The sequence below is a fragment of the Homo sapiens genome, chromosome 1 (genome assembly GCF_000001405.40).
Source record: "Homo sapiens chromosome 1, GRCh38.p14 Primary Assembly".
Taxonomy (NCBI): domain Eukaryota; kingdom Metazoa; phylum Chordata; class Mammalia; order Primates; family Hominidae; genus Homo; species Homo sapiens.
Window position 1 is genome coordinate 93,909,468 of NC_000001.11, and position 19,546 is coordinate 93,929,013.

Consider the following 19,546-nt stretch of genomic DNA (forward strand, 5'->3'; position numbering starts at 1 on the left):
AATCGTAGCCGAGAAAGTGCTTCGTAACCGTTACTCATCCCGCGGCGGGGCAGGGGCGGGGCGCGAATGGGCTGCGGGACGCCGGCCCGCAAGTGACTGGCCCTTGGCCTGCGGCGGGCGTGGCGACGGGTGGTGCGCGGCGGGCGCGCGGGTCGAGAGAGCGTGGCGGCGCGGCCCGGAGCGCAGCGCGCGGCAGGGCTCCCCCTGGCGGTCAGAGGACAGCGCGAGGCAGACACCGCCTCCGCCTGGTGAGGTAGACACCGCCTCCGCCTGGTGAGGTCTCCCGGCGTTCAGGTCGCGGCTCCGCCCACGGCCGCCCCAGGGTGGGCTTCCTACACGTCTCTTTAAAGGGCAGCCTGAGCGGCCACCGGGACTCGGAAATGCTACGTAGTTTTCGTTCTCAGAAGCAGCTGTTTATGCGCAAGCGCCCCCTTCTTCTTTTCGCTTTGCTACCTTCAAGGACCTTCTCCCAAACTGCTAATTTTTCTTCATCCGTTAAAGGTCTATTGATTCACATTATTTGCTGGCAGTGTGTGAAGTCAACGAACAAGACTGAGTCTTTGCCCTTGAGACGCGTACACTCTACCCAGAGACAAGTTCTAAGCACAGGAAACAAGTAATTTTATAAGAACATCATAGGGCAGTTATTCTCCAGATGAATTCAGATTAAAGAGGACACTTGAGCCGGTGAGATCACAGAAAGCTTTTATCACCCACCCCTTTAGAGGTGGTCGAGATTATTTACCCCTATTAAATTTCACGTGTGGTGGTGGACTCGGTATAAACATCAAATTGAACATGTATTGAGCTTTCCTCAACAATCTTTCACATTCGTTGAGGTGAATCAGATTATTAAAGGCAAAATGAGATTCTCATTATAAGCGGGGACAATATAGCTATTGAAAAGAGAGATGAACCAGTTGGTAAAATGGTAAGAATTAGGGGAGGGATGGGAAAAAAGATCTTTCTAGGAAGTTAGAAATTGAGCCTGATGTTGAGTAAATATTTGTTGGCTGAATGAATGATGGTAAGAGTTCATTGAACGAGCTTGCGCTGCTTTTTTTTTTTTTTTTTGGATATTGATTTTTTATTATAGTGAAAGAGCTACCCACAAGCACCACCACTACTTAAACACATTTTGATGCACTGTAACATACAATTAACATTTGTTGTAAATAATTCCAACATATACAAAAATAGCAAGAATACTATAATGAAACCCGATATAACTATCTTCTGAACTCAAGATTGAATAAGATTTGTCTATACTTTTTGTTTTATAATACTTTAAGTTCTAGGGTACATGTGCACAATGTGCAGGTTTGTTACATATGTATACAAGTGCCATGTTGGTTTGCTGCACCCATTAATTCGTTATTTACATTAGGTATTTCTCCTAATGCTATCCCTCCGCCAACCCCCCACCCCATGACAGGCCCCAGTGTGTGATGTTTCCCACCCTGTGTCCAAGTGTTCTCATGGTTCAATTCCCACCTATGAGTGAGAACATGCAGCGTTTGGTTTTCTGTCCTTGCGACAATTTGCTCAGAATGATGGTTTCCAGCTTCATCCATTCCCTACAAAGGACATGAACTCATCCTTTTTGATGGCTGCATAGTATTCCATGGTGTGTATGTGCCACATTTTCTTAATCCAGTCTATCATTGATGGACATTTGGGTTGGTTCCAAGTCTTTGCTATTGTGAATAGTGCCAAAATAAACATACCTGTGCATGTGTCTTTATAGTAGCATGATTTATAATCCTTTGGGTATATACCCAGTAATGAGATCGCTAGGTCAAATGGTATTTCTAGTTCTAGGCCCTTGAGGAGTCACCACACTGTCTTCCACAATGTTGAACTAGTTTACACTACCACTGACAGTGTAAAAGTGTTCCTAGTTCTCCACATCCTCTCCAGCACCTGTTGTTTCCTGACTTTTTAATGATTGCCATTCTAACTGGTGTGAGATGGTATCTCATTATGGTTTTGATTTGCATTTCTCTGATGACCAGTGATGATAAGCATTTTTTCATGTGTCTGTTGGCTGCATAAATGTCTTCTTTTGAAAAGTGTCTGTTCATATACTTTGCCCACTTTTTGATGGGGTTGTTTGATTTTTTCTTGTAAATTTAAGTTCTTTGTAGATTCTGGATATTAGCCCTTTGTCAGATGGGTAGATTGCAAAAATTTTCTCCCATTCTGTAGGTTGCCTGTTCACTCTGATGGTAGTTTCTTTTGCTGTGCAGAAGCTCTTTAGTTTAATTAGATCCCATTTGTCTATTTTGGCTTTTGTTGCCATTGCTTTTGGTGTTTTAGTCATGAAGTCCTTGCCCATGCCTATGTCCTGAGTGGTATTTCCTAGGTTTTCTTCTAGGGTTTTTATGGTTTTAGGTATAACATTTAAGTCTTTAATCCATCTTGAATTAATTTTTGTATAAGGTGTAAGGAAGGGATCCAGTTTCAGCTTTCTACATATGGCTAGCCAATTTCCCCAGCACCATTTATTAAATAGGGAATCCTTTCCCCATTTCTTGTTTTTGTCAGGTTTGTCAAAGATCAGATGGTTGTAGATGTGTGGTGTTATTTCTGAGGCCTCTATTCTGTTCCATTGGTCTGTATCTCTCTTTTGTACCATGCTGTTTTGGTTACTGTAGCCTTGTAGTATGGTTTGAAGTCAGGTAGCATGATGCCTCCAGCTTTGTTCTTTTTGCTTAGGATTGTCTTGGCAATGCAGGCTCTTTTTTGGTTCCATATGAACTTTAAAGTAGTTTTTTCCCATTCTGTGAAGAAAGTCATTGGTAGCTTGATGGGGATGGCATTGAATCTATAAATTACCTTGGGCAGTATGGCCATTTTCACACTATTGTTTCTTCCTATCCATGAGCATGGAATGTTCTTCCGTTTGTTTGTGTCCTCTTTTATTTTGTTGAGCAGTGGTTTGTAGTTCTCCTTGAAGAGGTCCGTCTCATCCCTTGTAAGATGGATTCCTAGGTATTTTATTCTTTTCAAAGCAATTGTGAATGGCAGTTCTCTCATGATTTGGCTCTCTGTTTGTCTGTTATTGGTGTAGAGGAATGCTTGTGATTTTTGCACATTGAATTTGTATCCTGAGACTTTGCTGAAGTTGCTTATCAGCTTAAGGAGATTTTGGGCTGAGATGATGGGGTTTTCTAAATATACAATCATGTCATCTGCAAACAGGGACAATTTGACTTCCTCTTTTCCTATCTGAATACCCTTTATTTCTTTCTCTTGCCTGATTGCCCTGGCCAGAACTTCCAACACTATGTGGAATAGGAGTGTTGAGAGAGGGCATCCCTGTCTTGTGCCAGTTTTCAAAGGGAATGCTTCCAGTTTTTGCCCATTCAGTATGATATTGGCTGTGGGTTTGTCATAAATAGCTCTTATTATTTTGAGATACATTCCACGAATACCGAGTTTATTGAGAGTTTTTAGCATGAAGGGCTGTTGAATTTTGTCAAAGGCCTTTTCTGCATCTATTGAGATAATCATGTGGTTTTTGTCTTTCGTTCTGTTTATGTGATGGATTACTTTTATTGATTTGCGTATGTTGAACCAGCCTTGCATCCCAGGGATGAAGCCAACTTGATCGTGGTGGATAAGCTTTTTGATGTGCTACTGGATTCAGTTTGCCAGTATTTTATTGAGGATTTTCACATTGATGTTCATCAGGGATATTGGTATAAAATTCTCTTTTTTGTGTGTGTCTTTGCCAGGCTTTGGTATTAGGATGATGCTGGCTTCATAAAATGAGTTAGGAAGGATTCCCTCTTTTTCTATTGATTGGAATAGTTTCAGAAGGAATGGTACCAGCTCCTCTTTGTACCTCTGGTAGAATTTGGCTGTGAATCTGTCTGGTCCTGGACTTTTTTTGGTTGGTAGGCTATTAATTATTGCCTCAATTTCAGAACCTGTTATTGGTCTATTCAGGTGTTTATAGTATTCTCTGATGGTAGTTTGTATTTTCTGTGGGATCAGTGGTGATATCCCCTTTATCATTTTTTATTGCATCTATTTTATTCTTCTCTCTTTTCTTCTTTATTAGTCTTGCTAGTAGTCTATTTTGTTGATCTTTTCAGAAAACCGGCTCCTGGATTCATTGACTTTTTGAAGAGTTTTTTGTGTCTCTATCTCCTTCAGTCCTGCTCTGATCTGTGTTATTTCTTGTCTTCTGCTGTCTTTTGAATTTGTTTGCTCTTGTTTTTCTAGTTCTTTTAATTGTGATGTTAGGGCATCAATTTTAGATCTTTCCTGCTTTCTCTTGTGGGCATTTAGTGCTATAAATTTCCCTCTACACGCTGCTTTAAATGTGTCCCAGAGATTCTGGTACATTGTGTCTTTGTTCTCATTGGTTTCAAAGAACAACTTTATTTCTGCCTTCATTTCCTCACTTACCCAGTAGTCATTCGGAGCAGGTTGTTCAGTTTCCATGTAGTTGTGCAGTTTTGAGTGAGTTTCTTAATCCTGAGTTCTAATTTGATTGCACTGTGGTCTGAGATAGAGTTTGTTGTGATTTCTGTTCTTTTACATTTGCTGAGGAGTGTTTTACTTCCAATTACGTCGTCAGTTTAAGAATAAGTGTGATGTGCTGAGAAGAATGTATATTCTGTTGATTTGGGGTGGAGAGTCCTGTAGATGTCTATTAGGTCCACTTGGTCCAGAGCTGAGTTCAATTCCTGGATATCCTTGTTAATTTTTTGTCTCGTTGATCCAATATTGACAGTCGGGTGTTAAAGTCTCCCATTGTTATTGTGTGGGAGTCTAAGTCTCTTTGTATTGGCGCTCCTGTATTGGGTGCATATATATTTAGAATAGTTAGCTCTTCTTGTTGAATTGATCCCTTTACCACTATGTAATGGCCTTCTTTGTCTCTTTTGATCTTTGTTGGTTTAAAGTCTGTTTTATCAGAGACTAGGATTGCAACCCCTGCTTTTTTTTGCTTTCCATTTGCTTGGTAGATCTTCCTCCATCCCTTTATTTTGAGCTTATGTGTGTCTGTGCATGAGATGGGTTTCCTGACTACAGCACACTGATGGGTCTTAACTCTTTATCCAATTTGCCAGTCTTTGTCTTTTAATTGGGGCGTTTAGCCCATTCACATTTAAGGTTAATATTGTTATGTGTGAATTTGATCCTGTCATTATGATGTTAGCTGGTTATTTTGCCCGTTAGTTGATGCAGTTTCTTCCTAGCATCGATAGTCTTTACAATTTGGCATGTTTTTGCAGTGGCTGGTACTGATGGTTCCTTTCCATGTTTAGTGCTTCCTTCAGGAGCTCTTGTAAGGTAGGCCTGGGGGTGACAGAATCTCTCAGCATTTGCTTGTCTGTAAAGTATTTTATTTCTCCTTCACTTATGAAGCTTAGTTTGGCTGGATATGAAATTCTGGGTTGAAAATTCTTTTTTTTGAGAATGTTGAATATTGGCCCCCACTCTCTTCTGGCTTGTAGAGTTTCTGCCAAGAGATCTGTTGTTAGTCTGATGGGCTTCCCTTTGTGGGTAACCCAACCTTTCTCTCTTGGCTGCGCTTAAGATTTTTTCCTTCATTTCAACCTTGGTGAATCTAACAATTATGTGTCTTGGGGTTGCTCTTCTCGAGGAGTATCTTTGTGGTGTTCTCTGTATTTCCTGAATTTGAATGTTGGCCTGCCTTGCTAGGTTGGGGAAGTTCTCCTGGATAATATCCTGCAGAGTGTTTTCCAACTTGGTTCCATTCTCCCCGTCACTTTCAGGTACACCAGTCAGACGTAGACGTAGATTTGGTCTTTTCACATAGTCCCATATTTCTTGGAGGCTTTGTTAGTTTCTTTTTACTCTTTTTTCTCTAAACTTCTCTTCTCGCTTCATTTCATTAATTTGATCTTCAATCACTAATACCCTTTCTTCCAGTTGATCAAATCAGCTACTGAAGCTTGTGCATGCATCAGGTAGTTCTTGTGCCATGGTTTTCAGCTCCATCAAGTCATTTAAGTGCTTCTGTACACTGTTTATTCTAGTTAGGCATTCATCTAATCTTTTTTTAAGGTTTTTAGCTTCCTTGCAATGGGTTTGAACATCCTCCTTTAGCTCGGAGAAGTTTGTTATTACCGACCTTCTGAAGCCTATTTCTGTCAACTCATCAAAGTTGTTCTCCATCCAGCTTTGTTCCATTGCTGGCGAGGAGCTGCAATCCTTTGGAGGAGAAGAGGCACTCTGGTTTTTAGAATTCTCAGCTTTTCTGTTCTGGTTTCTCCCCATCTTTGTAGTTTTATCTACCTTTGGTCTTTGATGCTGGCGACCTACAGATTGGGTTTTGGTATAGATGTCCTTTTTGTTGATATTGATGCTATCCCTTTCTGTTCGTTAGTTTTCCTTCTAAGAGTCAGGTCCCTCAGCTGCAGGTCTGTTGGAGTTTGCTGGAGGTCCACTGCAGACCCTGTTTGCCTGGGTATCACCAGCAGAGGCTGCAGAAAAGCAAATATTGCAGAACAGCAAATATTGCTGCCTGATCCTTCCTCTGGAAGCTTCGTCTCAGAGGGGTGCCTGGCTGTATGAGGTGTCAATCAGTCCCCACTGGGAGGTGTCTCCCAGTTAGGCTACATGGGGGTCACAGACCCACTTAAGGAGGCAGTCCGTCCATTCTCAGAGCTCAAACACCATGTTGGGAGAACCACTGTTCTCTTCAGAGCTGTCAGACAGGGACGTTTAAGTCTGCAGAAGTTTCTGCTGCCTTTTGTTCAGCTATGCCTTGCTCCCAGAGGTGGAGTCTACAGAGGCAGGCAGGCCTCCTTGAGCTGTGGTGGGCTCCACCCAGTTGGAGCTTCCAGGCCACTTTGTTTACCTACTCAAGCCTCAGCAATGGCAGACCGCCCCCCGCCCCTGCAACACCCTGCAGCCAGGCTGCCGGCTTTCACTCAGTTAGATCTGGGAGCTGCGGCACTAGCAGTGAGCAAGGCTCTGTGGGCGTGGGACCTGCTGAGCCAGGAGCGGGATATAATCTCCTGGTGTGCCATTTGCTAAGACCATTGGAAAAGTGCATCATTAAGATGGGAGTGTCCCAATTTTCCCAGTACAGTCTGTCACAGCTTCCCTTGGCTAGGAAAGGAAAATCCACTGACCCCTTGTGCTTCCTGGTTGAGGTGATACCCCGCCCTGCTTTGGCTCGCCGTCCTTGGGCTGCACCCACTGTCCAACCAGTCCCAATGAGATGAACCAGGTACCTCAGTTGGAAATGCAGAAATCACCTGTCTTCGGTGTCGATCATGCTGTGAGCTACAGACCTGAGCTGTTCCTATTCAGCCATCTTCGCTTGTGCTGCTTTAATTAATGTGTACATTTGATTCATATGCTGAATTTGCTGTGGCATCATTTCTTGATTGTTTGTATATTATCTGATAGCATGCAATCAATACTTGATTAAAGCTTAGAGTTTACATCTCCTAAACTATTAGACTTGCCTCTTTGCTGGGAACTTATATAACATATTGGCCAAGAATGTTGGTGCTGACATCAACCGGTATTGGCTTACCAACCTTACTTTTACCAGGCACTGGCTCTTTTATCTTACTTACCCAAGTCTCTCTGTATTTCAGTTTCTCTAAACCAGCAAGAGGATAGTTTGAACCATATGAAATTGCTCATAATTGACCTTTTTTTTGTTTGTTTTTTTTGAGACAGAGTCTTGCTCTGTCGCCTAGGCTGGAGTGCAGTGGCGCGATCTTGGCTCACTGCAAGCTCCACCTCCCAGGTTCATGCCATTCTCCTGCCTCAGTCTCCAGAGTAGCTGGGACTACAGGCGCCTGCCACCACGCCTGGCTAATTTTTTTTGTATTTTTAGTAGAGACGGGGTTTCACAGTGTTAGCCAGGATGGTCTCGATCTCCTGACCTCATGATCCGCCCACCTCGGCCTCCCAAAGTGCTGGGATTACAGGCCTGAGCCACCACGTCCGGTGATAATTGACCATTTTTAACCGACAGAAATGGAAAGTCCCATGGTTCCACCAAATAGAATACTTACCACATTGGGCAGGTGTGAGGAGTTAATGATGAAGAGGCATGAAAAGCCCTTAGTAAATGTCCAGTAAGTGAGAGCTCCTATTATTAATGCCCCTACTGTTTCCCCATTACAATGCAGTTCTCACAATATTGGTAAATTTATAACATGAATTCACGGCAGGCATCGTGTTATGTTTTTAAGATTTGCATATGTAAACTCATTTGCTCTTCGCAGCAACTCAGTTAAGTAACTTGTTGAAAATCTCAGTTAGTAATTAGTATTGTGGCCACGATCAAAACCTAGATCCTTCAACTTCAAATTCTTTACTCTTCCATACTATAGATAATTTAAATTCTTGAATGTGCTTATACATGATTTATATGTTTTTAATGCCTGTACGGCTTAAATTTACTACATATTGTACTTAATGATACCCTTGCCATAACACCGCAGTTCTTAGGGAGGGAAATTTAATCTTCTAAACTTATTTTGGGGGAAAAACCAGGGAATGTAAATCAGAAATTGATTATGTAGTCACTTTTAGTAAGTTATTTTTCTCCTGTCTAGAAAAGAGAAATAATATTGATAACATTTCTATCTTTGGGAATATATTTTTGTTTTTAGGTGCTTTAAAGCACTTCTACAAGTGCTGTATAAATACAGTGTCACTAACACTGACTGCTTTTTTTTTTCATGCTTGACATTTATAGGATCTGATATTCAACTGTTTATGTTTTTCTTTAAAAAACCACTCTTCCAGGCCAGGCACCATGGCTCACACCTGTAACCTCAGCATTTTGGGGAGGCTGAGGTGTGAGGATCGCTCGAGTCCAGGAGTTCAAAACCAGCCTGGGCGATAAGAGAGACCCCATCTCTACAAAAAATTTAAACATTAGCCAAATGTTGTGGCACGTGTCTGTCATCCCAGTTATTTGGGAGGCTGAGGTGGGAGGATCACTTGAGCCTGTGAGGCAGAGGTTGTAGTGAGCTGTGATTGTGTCACTGCACTCCATCCTGGGGGACAGAGAAAGACCCTGTCTCAAAAAAATAAAAACAAGACAAACCAGTCTCCTTGTGTGTCCTGTAATACCCTGCATCAGTTTCCCCAATGTATTTGATCACAGAACGCTTTTGAAATTATAATGTACTGTTGGAAGCCCAACAGGAGCTCACAAGCTTTAAGTGTTTAGAACAAAGCAGGCAGCAAAAAAAAGTCTCACAGATTAATTAATTGCTGTAGAAGTGATCACATTTTTATTCATAGTCTTTTTGCTTTATCAAGACAAACAAAATGAATTAAAATTAGTTTTACTTTATTAAGAGACCACCTGGTGCATTTTATTCTTAATAAGGTAAAATGGATTTAAATTCTCAAATTTTAACTCCTGGAATGAGTGTAACTGCTACATTTATGTTGCCATATTCAGAAGCCACTAAATGGATCCTGCCCCATCTAGAGGTGAAGGTTCTTTTTTTTTTTTTTTTTTTTTTCTGAGACAGAGTCTCACTGTGTCGCCCAGGCTGGAATACAGTGGTGCAATCTCGGCTCACTGCAACCTCCGCATCCTGGGTTCAAGCAATTCTCCTGCCTCAGCCTCCCGAGTAGCTGGGACTACAGGCATGCACCACCACGCCTGACTAATTTTTTTGTATTTTTAATAGAGACGGGGTTTCACCATGTTGGCCAGGTTGGTTTTGAACAGCTGACCTCAAGTGATCCGCCCGCTTCAGCCTCCCAAAGTGCTAGGATTATAGGCATGAGCCACCACACCCAGCTGAAGGTTCTATTTTTAAAAGGATTTTTCTGAAACCTAAATCCCTTGAAAATAATACAGCTGTCATGACCTGTTACCATCTTAAGGATTTGGAGGAAGAGAGCCATGGTTTGGAATAGAACATGAACGAGTGCAGAGGAGTGGAAATTACCACAGTTTGTTCTGAAGACTGGATACAGCGGCACCTTCCTGGAGCAGTGGTACCCCTTAAAGGTGAAGGGAACGTGGGTGTTGCAACAGAGGACCATTATCAAGAAGACTCTTTTGGGTTTGGTCTGAGAGGCACTGGGAAACCTCTTAAACTTGAGTAAGGTAGAGTCTTGACTCAAAGTAATAAATTGGCAAAAAACTCCACACCCCTATATTTTAAAATGCTATTCATTTACTCAGTAGATATTTCTCCAGTGTCTAATACTTAAGGTACTGAGCTAGGCACTGCAAATTCATAGTGAGCAAACACATTGTTCCTGTTCTTATGTAATTTACAGTCTAGTGGTAGAGAAAGATTTTAATCATATAATTATAGTAAATGTAAAATTATACTCTGGTGGTTATTATGAAAAAGGAGTACAAATATAACAAATCAGCAAGTGGTATGTAAAATTGCAGTGGAGAATGACTCAATGCTAGGAGACCAGTGAGAAAACTCTAGTAATCACCTAGACATAGGTTAGTGAGAACATGACCCACACTGAATGCAGGCTGTGAATATGAATCAAGACAGAGCTCAGGTGCCTTTGTTTTGCCCTAGTTAGTGGGAAGGAGGGAATCAGGTTACCATGGATTTACTTAGACGAAGCAAAATAGTTTCTTTTCTCAATAGGGAGCCATGGGAGAATGTCCCAGTGGGAATATCAGGGTTGGGGTTGAGCAAGAAAATTTGTTAAAATTCTCATATGTTCAAGTACAATAGAAATCATTCCATTGATAATATGAATCCAAAATATCCAATACTGTTATGTAAGATTGCCTGGAGGGCTGCTGTATTTGCATCTGTTTGTCTGTGTCATCATCATCATCTGCTAACTAAAAATGATACAATTCCTACTCCTCATCTGCTGATGGAAGAGGTTGTTGGCAGTAACTAAAATTTGTATAGTGATGAAAAATACAAGTAGATATTTAAAGAGTCAATATTTGGGTCTAAATGTATACATCACATTGAAAATTCTTTCTTTTTTTTTTGAGACAGAGTCTCACTCTGTTGCTCGGTCTAGAGTACAGTGGTGCGATCTCGGCTCACTGCAACCTCCACCTCCCAAGTTTGAGCGATTCTCTTGCCTCAGCCTCCCAAGTAGCTAGGACTACAGGCATGCACCACCATGCCTGGCTAATTTTTGTATCTTTAGTAGAGATGGGGTTTCACCATGTTGGCCAGGCTGGTTTTGAACTCCTGACTTCAGGTGATCCGCCCACCTTGGCCTCCCAAAGTGCTGGGATTACAGGCGTGAGCCACCGTGCCCTGCCCACATTGAAAATTCTATGATTGACCATGTGATGAAGAGTGCTACTAGTACAGATATCATTGAGAAGTAATGTAACTTGGGGATGAGTGTCTTTTTTTTTTTTTTTTTTTTTTTTTTTTAAGAAAATCACGACCAGGTGCAGTGACTCATACATGTAAGTGAGCACTTTGGAAGGCCGAGGCAGGAGGATCACTTGAGCCCAGGAGTTGGAGACCAGCCTGGGCAACATAGTGAGGCCTCCTCTCTACAATTTTTTTTTTTTTTTTAAAGAAAATCACGTTATTCCAACTAACTCCGCAAACAGTAACACCACAATGGCAGGTTTAAGGAGGCCACACAAACATTTGCCCAGCCCGAAATTCTATACCATCTCAGTGAACTTGTATACAGTAAGAATGCTCTTTTCCATTGCAATTCTGAAGCAAGGAAGCTATTAATGAAAGAGAAGTTTAACTGATGGTTTTGCACTTTATACTTTTATTATCAACTATATTTTTATGCTAAATTATCTTGGTGAGGTGAGCTGATTTTTCATTTCTTCAATCTGAACTTTTTGACTAGGCTAATTCACCTGCAAGTCTGCACTGTTTCAACACCTTAGTGAAACCCTCACAGAGCTTTATGTCACCCTGGTTCTGCGCACACTCTAAAAACTGTTTATCTCATAGAAGCAAGGGCGAAACTGCTGCTGCTGTTGCTGCTGCTGTGCCAGCTGGGTTTCTGAGGGCCCTACTTAGAGATGTTAGGCTTTGAGGGCTCAGCATTACTTACTCTTCTGAAGCTCCCAGTGATGGCCTGACCCAGTATGTGCCTGACAGCCTGACAGCCATGCCAGCTGCAGCAGTTGTCATTTGGGTCATCAGACCTGGCTGTGGGGTACAGCAGCAGGTGAGCCAACTGCAGATGATGGGGCTGCTGCTAGTGCTGGCCTGGGTGCACTTCTCATCTGAGGTACCTGCTGGAGACGCCCAACTGGCCCAGGCAACCATGAGGAAGGTGCTTTGACTTCTGCAAGCATCGTAAGTGTGTGTGGTAACTTTACCTCTAGAAGTGTGGACCTCTGTCTGAGTGTCAGTTTTAAGATTTGAATAATCATCCAGGGTGAGTTTGAAATAGTTATTTCTTGGCCTGAATAGATGAATATTAGGATTGGAATTAGACTCATAGCAAAAGCATATGAAATAGTTTTTATGTAGTGAGGATAAGAGGTATCTTAGGAAATGTTAGTAATTAAGATGGTAAGTGAAGTTATGATAGAAGAAGAGAACAAATTTATTGCTTTTATTTGGAGTTACACTCATTTTTTTAGCTCCTAACTCCAGCGGATTATTTCTATGCTTTAAAAGTTGAAAAACAATATTATTCTACATGGAGGCATGAGTTAGTAGTTTTTGCTTACTTTCTCAGTAAATAAGGAGTTTTAGGCTTCTGTTGTTTTAGTCACAATATAATGTTTTGTTTAACAATATTTATAATATATGGGTACTAGAATAGTTTGGGGGTTGTGATAGGAGAAGAAATATATAAGTATTAGAATATTTTTCTCGTGTGAATGATGGTTTAATGTTTTGTTTTGTTTTGTTTTGTTTGTTTTTTTGAGGAGTCTCGCTGTGATGCCCAGGCTGGAGAGCAATGGTGCAATCTCGACTCACTGCAACCTCCACCTCCCGGGTTCAAGCTATTCTCCTTCCTCAGCCTCCTGAGTAGCTGGGATTGCAGGTGTTTACCACCACACCTGGCTGATTTTTGTATTTTTAGTAGAGACAGTGTTTCACCATGTTGGCCAGGCTGGTCTGGAACTCCTGACCTCAGGTGATCCACTTGCCTTGGCCTCCCAAAGTGCTGGGATTATAGGCATGAGCTACCGTGACCAGCTGGCTTAATGTTATTAATGTGGTATGTACACTTTCCTCATCATATTGTGTTTAATATGTAGGGTAAATATAGGGCTCTAATTAGTATATTAAGTCCTATTAGGATAGTGGTAAAACCAGCTCACAAAAATAATGCTATAACTACAAAGAATTTTCCAATTAGGTTCATAGTGGTGGTAGGGCTAGATAAGTTAGCTAGCCAGTACTCATCATGTTGCTATTAAAGGCAGTAATATTTGTAGTTTGAGAGCTAATAGTATAGTTCAAGTATGGATTCGCTCATAGATTGGGTTTTTGAGGCACAGCAACATTGATGACATTAGGCCACGGACAATTATTAGGGCTGTGGCTCCTGTAAAACTTCATGGCATTAGAATAAAAATGGCTAGTTTTACTAGTGCTACAAGACTTACGGATGAACAGGTAATGATTGATTTTAAGTCTTGTTTGGTGTAAACAAATAGAGCTGTTACGATAGTTCCTCCTAGGGATAATATAAGAAATGATTAGGTTATGTATTCTGTTAGTGGATTTAAAATTGCAAAATTTCATTTTATACTACAGCCTCCTAGTTTTAGTAATGTGGCTGCAATTGGGGCTTCTACATGCGCTTTTGGTAGTCAGAGGTGGAGGCCGTAAAGGGGTATTTTTACTAGGAATGCTATTATGTAGGCTAATCATGGGAGACATTAGATCAGGAGCTTGGTCATGTTTGAATTCAATAGTGGTTCTTAAAAAAATTAATGAGTCTGAGGAATTTTGGATATAGATTAATGCTATGAGTAGGGTTGAACAGCCAATCAGTGTGTAGGACAGGAAATAAAGTCTTGCATTGAATTGTTCTCTTCAGCCTCCTCATCAAGTGACAGTGATTAGAGTAGGGATTAGGGTTGCTGCAAAGAGAATATAGAATAGAATTAGTTCTATGGCAGTAAATGTCATGATTAAGAATATTCGTAGAAAAATTAATATTGGCCGGGTGTGGCGGCTCAAGCCTGTAATCACAGCACCTTGGGATGCCTGAAGCTGGAGAATCACTTGAGGAGTTAGAGACCAACCTGGGCAACATGGCAAAACCCTGTGTCTACAAAAAATGCAGAAAAAATAGCCAGGTGTGGTGGTGCGCACCTGTGGTCTCAGCTGTTCAGGTGGCTGAGGTGGAAGGATCGCCCGGGCAGGGAAGGCTGCTATGAGCTGTGATCACATCACTGCACTCTAGCCTGGGTGACAGAGTGAGACCCTGTCTGGAAAAAAAAAAAAAAAAAAAAGAAAAGAAAAATTAATACTGAGAAATATAGTTTTTTTCATGTATCTGATTTTTTTGAGAGATGGTGTTGATTTCTTATAATTATTAGGGAAAGTAGTCAAGTTGGACTTGGATGGGGTGGGATAAGATAAATATTTAAAATTATGGCCAGATGCAGTGGCATGTATCTGTAAATTCCAGCCACACAGGAGGCTGAGCTGAGAGGATAGGTTGAGCCCAGGAGTTTGAGTCCAGCCTAGGCAACATAGTGAGGCTCTGTCTGAAACAAAACAAAACAAAAAACAAACAAAAAATTGTAATGAAACAAAACAAAAAACAAAAAATTAGAATTTTACAATAAATAATCATAACATTATGCCTTCGAAACATAATAATGAAAATAGGTGTGACTGGTATACTGAAAGCTGTATTAAGTATGCAATATAAGCTAGAATAATGTTAATATAAATGAAGGTATATTGGTAATTATGAAATATAATTTAATGGGTTGAAATTGTTTGTTTTAATTTAAACTAAAAACCATATTTAATTAATTCTAGTCCTTTTTGCATCCATTCATAAACTAGGCCTGGGGATAGGATAAGGATTAAAATTAGTGCCATAATGAGTATGAGTTTTGAGTTGTTTATTTGAGATGCTCATGGTAATGGTAATTAGAGGGGATTTCTAGATTGAATAATCAGAAAGCTATAGCTACTAAGAAAAATTTTATGGCAAATCATAGCTGGGCAGATGCTGTTGGATCAAATCTGCATTTGTATATCCTTGATTTTTCTGTATAGATATTTAATTGTGGTAATCAGAATGCAATGATGATAAGCAGTAGTGCTAGTAATGTATTAGTTAATAAGGTTAATGTAAGATTGATTATTCTTTTTCAGGTTGATACTGAAGTTAATTTATTGGAGGCCAATTGTGCTGATTAATACTAAAATAGGATCCTCATCAATAAACAGAGATGTATACAAATAGTCAGACTACATTTACAAAATGTCACTCTCAGGCAGCAGCAGCACATCTGAATGGGTGATTAGATGTGAAGAAGTGAAATTGCAATTAGCCTGGGCAATATAGGGAGACCTCATCTCTACAAAAAATACAAAAATTAGCTGGCCATGGTGGTCCATGCCTGTAGTCCCAGCTACTGAGGGGGTGGATGTGGGAGGATCACTTGAGTCCGGGAGGTCAAGGCTGCAGTGAGCCAAGATCACGCCACTGCACTCCAACCTGGAAGACAGAGTGAGACTCTGTCTTAAATAAAAGAAAAGGAATTGCGATTGACATAAGAAGGAAATGATAAAAATGGTGACACCAATAATTACATTGATACAATAAAGAGAATCATTTTGTATCACAGGCCTTTTTGAACAATTAATGTGTGGTGGCTTTGAAATGTGTTTTCTTTGACTACATTTTGTTATCATTGATATACGGTTAATGTATCAGTTAGTACAACTAAGGATAGTAAAAGAATTGAACTAAAGTGAAATTATACTACTAAATGCTATGAGCAGAACTGATAAGTGATCAAGAGCTGGTCTGGTGGGTGACTAAGCATTATCATCTAGGTAAAGCCTAACTAGAAGCTTGAAGATGTTAGCCTGAATTAGGGCAACCGTAAATTCAGGAGTGATAAGTAATGAGAAATGTAACTAAGGCTGTTGCCGGGCAAATGGATATTAGGATTAAGGTGGCTCCACTGATTAAGCATATGGTAGATAGCCACTGTAATGTTGGCTGTTAATTGTACTGCTAGGGCCGTGGGTTGAATAAAAAGGCTAATATTATAGTTTCAATAATAACTAGCATGGGGATAAGTGGAAAGGTGTTCCTTGTGGTAGGAAGTGAGCCATTAATAATGCTTTGTTTTGTGGTGAAAGCAGGTAATTACTGCTCCTGCTGATAGTGGGATAGTTATACCTAGATTTTCTGATAATTGGGTGGCTGGTGGGAGTGAGTGGGGTAATAATCCTAGTGAATTTGTTTAGCTGATAAATAAGTGAAATTAATATTAGAGATCAAATGTGTTCTTTGATATTATGTATTGTTATTGTTTTAGTATGAGTTGCACGAATTACTGTTGAACAGAGACTGTTCAATAGATTATTGATTAGGTGATTGGGGGCAGGAAACATGATATTTAGAAATGAAATGATTAGAATAACAATAGGTAGTCCTGTTATTGTAGGGGTAGTGAAAGAAGTGAATAAATTTTTGTTCACTTTTTTTCCTCAAGGGATCTAGTGTTTTGATGCTTTGATGTTCTTTGGTGATGGATTTAAAGAATAAATATAGTTCAAAATTTTTAATTGAGATAGAATATATAGTACTAGAAATATTGAAACAAGGGTGATAAATCGGCAGGGCACAGTGGTAGCTCATGCCTGTAATCCTAGCACTTTGGGAGACTGAGGCAGGAGGACCACTTCAGCTTAGGAGTTCGAGATCAGGCTGGGCAACATAGTGAGATGCCCATCTCTACAAAAAAATTAAAAAATTAGCCAGGCATGGTGGCACACGTCTATAGTCCCAGCCACTCAGCTGGCTGAAATGAGGATCTCTTGAGCCCAGGATGTTGAGGCTGCAGTGAGTCCTGATTGTGCCACTGCACTCCAGCCTGGGCAACACAGCAAGATCCTGTCTACAAAAGAAAAAAAAACTGATAAATCATGTTGATGTGTCTAGTCATAGCATTTCATTATGAAGACATTAATACTCTCAGTCTTGAACTTAAAATATTAAGGTTATTTAGCTTCACACAATGACATTATAACAGATGATCAGTTTTCAAAGTGTTTTGGTGGAACTAATTCAAGTACTATGGGTATAAAGCTGTGATTTGATCCACAAATTTCTGAGCATTGTCCATAATACAGGTCTGGTTGTGTGGGTGTTAGAGTTGCTTGATTTAAACGTCCTGAAAATGTGTCTGTTTTTAATCCTAATGATGGAACAGCTCATAAATGTAATGAGTGTAGGATATTTTTAGAGAAGATTAGTATATGAGTTGATATTTCTATAGGCAGGACTACTCAATTATCAACATTGAGTAGTGGTACTTCTCCTGGTTTAGATTTGTTATAGGGATTATGTAGGAATCAAAATTAGGTCTTTGTAATGTGTGTATTCATAACTTCAGTATCATTGATGGACTATAGTTTTTATAGTTAGGGAGGAGTTACTAATTACATCCATTATGTATATTAATAGGATTTGTAAAGATGGTAAAGCAATTAGGATTAAAATAATAGTGGGTAAAATAGGTCATATCAGCCGGGCACGGTGGCTCATGCTTGTAATCCCAGCACTTTGGGAGGCCGAGGTGGGCGGATCACCTAAGGTCAGGAGTTCAAGACCAGCCTGGTCAACATGGCAAAACCCCATCTCTACTAAAAATACCTGTAATCCCAGCTACTTGGGAGGCTGAGGCAGGAGAATCACTTGAACCTGGAGGTGGAGGTTGCAGTGATCCGAGATTGCACTCCAGCCTGGGCAACCAAGAGTGAAACTCTGTCTTAAAAAAAAAAAAAGTTTATGTTCTCTCTACTTCTTAAACATCCATAGTACTTGTGTGGGTTAGTTTAATTGTTAATAAAATAATGTAAAGAAATAAAGGGATAACTAAAAATATAATTATTAAAGCGTGATCATGGAAATGCAAAAGTTCTTCTGTAATAGGTAATGCTGCATCTTGAAGCCTAACTGGAATGGGTATGCCATAAGGATATAAAGGATTTTAACTTGTAAGTTAACTTCAACTAAGTTATTTAGTATTCTTACTAATATCTCACTTGTTGAGAAAGCCTAGTGGTTATGGGTCTGGCTTGAAATTGGTTATGTGATTTTGATTCCTCCCTTTCTTATCTTAAGCTTTTACGTAAGCAGGCTCTTCAAATGCATGATATGGGGGTGGGCAGCCATAAGGTCATTCAAAGTTTGTAATGAAAGCCCCACTACTGAGGCTTCTCATTTTGAAGTAAAGTCTTCTCAAATTATGAAAATTTTTAATATTCTGTTAGTGAAATAGAGGAGCCTATTGATAAGATGATTTTTCATGTTGTATATGCATCAGGATAATTAGACTATTGTTATGATATGCTGGATAAACCAAGGAAATGTTGCAGAAAGTCAGGTTTATACGCACAAATATAATTGTAAAATGAATTTTGGCTCAGGTTCAGTGTGTAACCTAAAAATTGTGAGAATCAGTGAACAAACCCTCCTATAATAATGAAAACTGCTCCTGTTGATAGAACATAGTAGAAATGTGCTACAACATAATATGTGCTACAAAGAACAATGTCTAGTGATGAGTTAACTAGTACAATTCCTATTAGGCCCTCAACTATAAATAGAGAAATACAGCCTAAGGCTCAAAATACAGCTGGAGATCATTTAATATTACCTCCATGTAGTGTTGCTAGTCAACTAGATACTTTAACTCCTGTGGGAATAGTGACATGGTTTGGATTTGTGTCCCTACCCAAATCTCATGTTGAATTGTAATCCCCAGTGTTAGAATGGGGCCTAGTGGGAGGTGATTGGATTATGGGAGTGGATCCTTCGTGAATGGTTTAGCACCATCCCTTTGATGCTATTCTTGTGATAGAGTTCTCATGAGATCTGGTTGGTTAAAAGTGTGCAGCACCTCCCACTTACCCTCTCTTCCTCCTGCTCTGGCTGTGTGAAGACATGCCTGCTTTCCCTTTGCTTTCCATCATGACTGTAAGTTTCCTGAGGCCTCTCCAGAAGCTGAGCAGAAGCTGCTATGCTTCCTATACAGCCTGAGGAACTATAAGAAAAAAGAATAAGAAAATATGAACTTAGTCTCCAAGAAGTCTGGGATTATGTTAAATGACCAAACCTAAGAATAATCAGCATTCCTGAGGAAGAAGAGAAATCTAAAAGTTTGGAAAACACATTTGGGGGAATAATCAAGGCAAACTTGCCCAGCCTTGCTAGAGACCTAGACATCCAAATACAAGAAGCACAAAGAACAACTGGGAAATTCATCGCAAAAAATCATTGCCTAGGCACATTGTCATCAGGATATCTAAAGTTAAGATGAAGGAAAGAATCTTAAGAACTGTGAGATGAATGCACTGGGTAACCTATAAAGGAAAACCTATCAGATTAACAGCAGATTTCTCAGAAGAAACCCTAC

The 19,546-nt window shown here is 40.2% G+C and overlaps 1 long non-coding RNA gene and 7 pseudogenes across 1 annotated transcript, besides 2 other annotated features; 1 reads left to right on the forward strand and 7 right to left on the reverse strand.

Annotated features, from left to right (window-relative positions):
* Positions 47-286: a silencer, noted in NCBI's record as "silent region_1091". NCBI's record gives its function as "represses an Ori minimal core promoter by ATAC-STARR-seq in GM12878 lymphoblastoid cells {active_cell/tissue: GM12878}" and the evidence as "EXISTENCE:reporter gene assay evidence [ECO:0000049][PMID:35858748]".
* On the forward strand, positions 125-10,131 carry LOC124904221 (uncharacterized). The gene is made up of 2 exons (XR_007066230.1): positions 125-687; positions 9,862-10,131. It is a non-coding gene; the product is annotated as an uncharacterized LOC124904221 (long non-coding RNA).
* Positions 327-486: an enhancer, noted in NCBI's record as "active region_1345". NCBI's record gives its function as "activates an Ori minimal core promoter by ATAC-STARR-seq in GM12878 lymphoblastoid cells {active_cell/tissue: GM12878}" and the evidence as "EXISTENCE:reporter gene assay evidence [ECO:0000049][PMID:35858748]".
* Positions 11,802-12,202, reverse strand: CHCHD2P5 (coiled-coil-helix-coiled-coil-helix domain containing 2 pseudogene 5; annotated as a pseudogene).
* On the reverse strand, positions 13,108-14,090 carry MTND4P11 (MT-ND4 pseudogene 11; annotated as a pseudogene).
* Positions 14,919-15,249, reverse strand: MTND3P21 (MT-ND3 pseudogene 21; annotated as a pseudogene).
* MTCO3P21 (MT-CO3 pseudogene 21) lies at positions 15,276-15,918 on the reverse strand (annotated as a pseudogene).
* Positions 15,939-16,605, reverse strand: MTATP6P13 (MT-ATP6 pseudogene 13; annotated as a pseudogene).
* Positions 17,148-18,102, reverse strand: MTCO2P21 (MT-CO2 pseudogene 21; annotated as a pseudogene).
* Positions 18,247-18,835, reverse strand: MTCO1P21 (MT-CO1 pseudogene 21; annotated as a pseudogene).